Genomic DNA, 5,370 nt, shown 5'->3' with positions numbered 1-5,370 from the left:
ACTGAAAACAGGCCCCCAATCTCTTCCGGCTTGTAAGGTTCTTGCTGAGAAGTACACTGCTAGCCTGATGAGGTTCCCTCTGTAGGTGATGTGCCTGTTCTCTCTAGCTACTTTTAAGATTTTTTGATTGACCTTGGTGACTATGATGACTATGTGCCTTGGGGATGACCGTGTTGTATATTATCTGGTCAAGACTGTCTGTATTTCTTGGATTTGTGTATGAACATCTCAAGTTTAATTAGAGAAGTTTTCATGGACTATAGTGTCAGATGTGTTATGTCTTCCAAGTTGTTTTTTTCTCTCCTTCTCTCTCAGGAATGCCAATGAGTCACAGATTTTGTCTCTTTATATAATCCCACATTTCTCGGAGGTTTTGTTCATGTTTCTTCATTCTTTTTTCTTTATTTTTGTATGACTGAGTTGACTTGAAGAACTGGTATTCAAGCTCTGGGATTTTTTCCTTAGCTTCGTCTATTCTGCTGTTATTACTTCCAGTTGTATTACAAAATTCTTATAATGTATTTTTCAGCTCAAGAATTTCAGTTTGGCTCTTTCGTAAAATGGGAATTTCATCTTTCAGCTTTGAATCATTTTACTGGATTGCTTGGTTTCCTTGGATTAAATTTTAGCTTTCTCTTCAATCTCAATGAGCTTCCTTGCCATCCAGTTCCGAATTCTGTCTGTCCTTTCAGATAATTCAGACTGGTTAAGAACCATTGTTGGGGAGCTAGTGGGCTTGTTTGGATTTAAGGTGACACTCTGGCTTTTTGAATTGCCAGAGTTCTTGTGCTGATTCTTTCTCATCTGAGAAGACTGATATGCTTTTAATCGTGGTGTAAATTGATTATAGTCTGCTGGCATCATTTCTGGAAGTTTTCAGAGGACCAAGGCACTATATAGGACTTTGTTGTAGAATTCTTGCTATTGGTTTTGCAGGGGGGAAATTCTAAAGTGATCTCTGGTGTAGCTTCAGCTGCGATCCAGTAGATGGCTCTTGAGAGTAATGGGCAGTAGATAGGCTTTTACTCAGCCATGTGGTTCCTTCATGTATCTTTGAGTTTACAGCTGTGTTCTATGGTGTGAGGGCAAGAGAGGTGATTCCATTACCTGGTCTGCTTGTGGGCTTTGGGGGAGCCATCTCTCATCACTGTCACTGTGTCCACTATTTTGTTGTTGTTGTTGTTGTTGTTGTTGTTAGGTCTTTTGGGCCACAGGGCTCCCTTGGGGGAGATATCTGGTAGAGAAATACCCTTACCAGACCTACCCTGTGGAGAAAGGGAGGGCTAGGTCCCATGCCAGCCCACAAACCTGTGCAACTCAGCACTCTCAGTTTTCTGAGCGTGTGGGCTCCTGCTCTACTCAAGTGCCAATCACAGATTATAGCTTGACACTCCTGAGCCACAGGCCACTGCCCTGGGACACAGGATCTGCTTGTAGCTCCCTCCTATGGATGCCTGGGGTTGGGTTCTGGGTGTGATATGGGGTCCAAGGTGTTCCCAGGCTGCCAGAACACAGGCGAGTGGAGCAAAACACCCAGCCTGGGCAGCAGAGGCTGCATTGTGTACACACTTCTATAGAGTGGCCAGGCAGGGGTCCCGGGAGGGGCTGGTGGGCAAGCCGTCCTGCAGGACAGATATGCCCCAGTCCCACATGGAAGCAGACCCTGCCTTCTCCCTAGCAGTTACCTAGCTCCTCTCAGGGAGAGCCAGGTAGCCCTGGGAAGTGCGTGCTTATAGCCGGCTCCACCGGAGCTTCCCCATGCTCAGTTCCCAGCTCTGTGCCTGCTCGGCTCTGTTTCTGTCTAATATCCAGAGAGTTCTCTCTACCAGCTCCCACATTTGTGGGGGTATGGGGTCCTCTGCAGCTAGGATCCCAGAGATATGTGGCAAGTGTGAGCAGTTTCCCAGCCCTGTCAGTCACCTCTTTCCCAGGAGCCATTCAGGGGCAGAAACCAGTGGTAACATGCAGGCACCCCACAAAGAGTTCTTATCTGCCTCCCTCTTCAGCCTCAGTGACTGCATCTTTTCTCCATCCACATTCAGCATTTTCTCCCTAAAGATCTGTTCAAATTATGTTGGTGTAGTTGAAATTGTCTCTCTGTGGGAGCAGCATTTTCTGGCTGCATCTAGTTGACCATCTTGGAAAAAGACATTTTCAACAGTTTTGAAGTTGCCTTTTTCTCAACTCAATATTTACTTGGTTACCATAAACCTTCCTAGAGTTCTGCCAGAATTGGTTCTAACTGTTTCTGCATGTTTTTCAGTATTTCTTTAGGAGGGATATGAGCTTGGAGCTGTCTACTGCAATGTTACGCTTGAATCACTCACACCATTACTTTTTCCACATGCTTCTGGTCACACATACCAACCCTAGGACATGATTAAAAGGGACTATGTAAGAATGTTAACATCAGGAGTCAGGGACAAGAGCAGTCACCCCCTCTTAGTGGCCTGCAGGCTCCACCAAGCATGGACATAAAAGAAAATATTGAGTTCCTTCAAGGGAAATTCCAGGAAGCTGACTAGCCTTGAAAAGTAAAGAAGCAACTTGATAAATAAGAAGATAATAGTAACTTAAAACAATAGTGAAAAGACTTAGAGTCATATGACTATATGGTTCCCTATAGAAACTAAAGGTAACTTACTAACATATGTCTCTGGGTTGTTATTCAGAAATGCAGACTTCCACCAAATAAGTCTACTGGCATGTAAACCTCAAAGGGGAACTGAGGACTGAACTCTGATCACCATTCTTTTTTTAAAATGTCTTCCTGAGGGACCTGGAGGAGGTCACATCCCCAGGCCAGAACTAACATTCTGTTAATCCCAAATTTTTAGGCAAAGCTTTGCCTCCTGAACCGAATTCAAATCATAAAATATTTGAATTGACCTAGGAATTGTGGGATCCCGCTTCAAAACCTCTCTCCGTTTTAGGCCCAAACCAGGGTGTAACCTCTATGTGTTGATTTACAATTTTGCCTGTAACTTCTGTTTTCCTGAAATTTACCCCTTTCTTTATAAACTCTTGCATACCCACCATTGGAGAGGTCAGGAGTTAGGTGTTAGCTGCCTGGTCCTCCTTGCTTGATGCCCTGCAAATAATCACCTTTCTTTCTATGGCTGCAAACGTTGGTGTAGATATCTGGTCTTACTGCACTGGGCAAGTGGACCCCAGTTCAGTTCTATAGCACCATCACAAGTTAATTTTAATTTGTTTAAGTGACATTGAGAGAAATAAGACTAGATAAACAAAGCTATTAGGAGAAAAATTTGTTAATTTTTTTTTCCATTCTGTGCTTCAGAATCTTGGCTCATAAAAATAAAAATAATTCACTTAGTTCACATTTGTGACTCTGTACGTGTACACTCATGTGTGGATGCACACAATAAAATAGGAAGTGTCTTTAATCAAACAATTATTAAGATGCCTTGATCAGAAAATATCTCAACAGGAAACAAGATACATGGCAAGAGTTAACAGAAGACAGATAGAAGAGTGACTTTTATAAAATTTTGAATAGGTTTAAGCAAACAAAAATGGCTAAACACCAGGCTGAGAGCAATAGTAGGAAGCCAATGTCATATCCAGGCTTGAGATGAAAAAGGAAGAAATTTTGTAACCAAAAACTGAAGACTTCTATGGTCACCGGTGGGAATAACATGATAAGAGTTATGGCTGCTGTCAAATCACAGCACAAAAAGTAAAACAAACAAACAAAAAACCCTGGAGACATTGATAGCTCAAACTCATTCACCATCTTCCAGTCCCCCTGATCTCTAGGCTACACCTCCCATTAGCCAAAGATATGCTGAAGCCTGAGGAAAAATGAGCTGGGTTGCTGTCATTCACAAAGTTCAGCTTCCAAAGACACAGTTCAAAGTGGAGGAGGATGGATGCTGCATCAGAATGGGTAAATGGAAAATAGTCAGCATAGTTTAAGTTGACTTTCATATATTCAATAGAAGAAAATGTAATGAAACAATAAAAAACAAATAAAAATAGAGTAGCATAGGTAAAAAAAAAAAGCCAGGTGAGGTTAAATATGAAATATATGACTTAAATTCCTCTATGATAAAGTTGGACCATTTACTTGCCTCTTCCAGGCAATGCAAAGATCAAATTTTGATCAGCTAAATATATGGTAATGTTATAAAGGAACAGAAAATTTACTGAGGTACAGCGTTACTATTCCCAGTTCAGTGGCCAAGAAGACATTCCTAGTGTCAGTCCTCATATAGAAAACTGAAATTTATCGAACACTTCAATTTTACAAAAAATAGAGGACAAGTTTAATAAAACTACATCTTATAGCATCCCATAATGGCTGTTGCCAAACGTATTTCAATAAAACCATTCTAAGGAGGCTGAAATAAAGTACTTTATATTTGCAGCCTCAGCTGTTCTGATGTGATCTAGGGATAGATTACGTAGAATGGATAAACTGCATGCCCCAAAGGTTACATCAAAAAGGTTGTATTTTCTGCAAAGCACCAAGGAATTGGCACTTATACTTCCTGATAGGTACTTGGGGTGCAGATAAACTACATTGCAGGTCACATTAAGGGCCAGGTGATATTTCTTGCAACTCTCCAGCCACCTATGTTCCCTTCCATTCTTCTTCATGAACTCTCTTTCTTTCTGGCTCTTAAAATTAGTGTTTTCCTGGGATTTCTTTCTGCCCCATTTACCTTTACAATGCATGCATGCCATACATGAACAATGTAATCAATTTTTATATTTTCAATTTTTTATGTAATGATGACTCCCAAATGCTTGCAACCTATCCTGATTTTCTTCTTGTGCTCCAGACCTCAAAATTCCATTTATGTGCTGGACACCTGCATTTGGGTGTTTTATCTTTGATGTGGTTCTACCATTGTGGATAAGTCTCTTTTTTTTTTTTTTTTGGATTGCCCACAAATGATCAACTCTACAACTGTATTGTTCTTTTATTATTTTACAGTCACTAAGATCATAGTTTCATACTTACCAGAATTCTCTTAATATACTTCCTCTGCTTTTCTGTAAGCACAATTAAGATCATTATTGTTGACTGTGAGACAACATGGAAAAAAAAGTCTTCTTCAGTTTCTCAGAGACACGTTGGCCACCAGTCTAAACAGAGACACATTGGCTACCAGTCTAAATAGGTTTTGTTTCTGTGTTGTTTTGTTTTGCTTTGTTTTTGGTCTGGGCATTTGTCGAAGTTCTGAGGATCCTGTTACAAATAACCTCGTGCAGCTTTCTTTGTATCTTTTTGAAATATGATCTTTCTATAGTTTTCTTCTAACCTCTAGCCAAAAAGAAATGTTTCTATATCACTGAAGGCAACGGTCTTGACTTAAAGCTGCCTCATGAGAGTCTACTTTT

The sequence above is a fragment of the Homo sapiens genome, chromosome 5 (genome assembly GCF_000001405.40).
Source record: "Homo sapiens chromosome 5, GRCh38.p14 Primary Assembly".
NCBI classification, from domain to species: domain Eukaryota; kingdom Metazoa; phylum Chordata; class Mammalia; order Primates; family Hominidae; genus Homo; species Homo sapiens.
Note: the sequence above shows the minus strand (reverse complement) of the source record.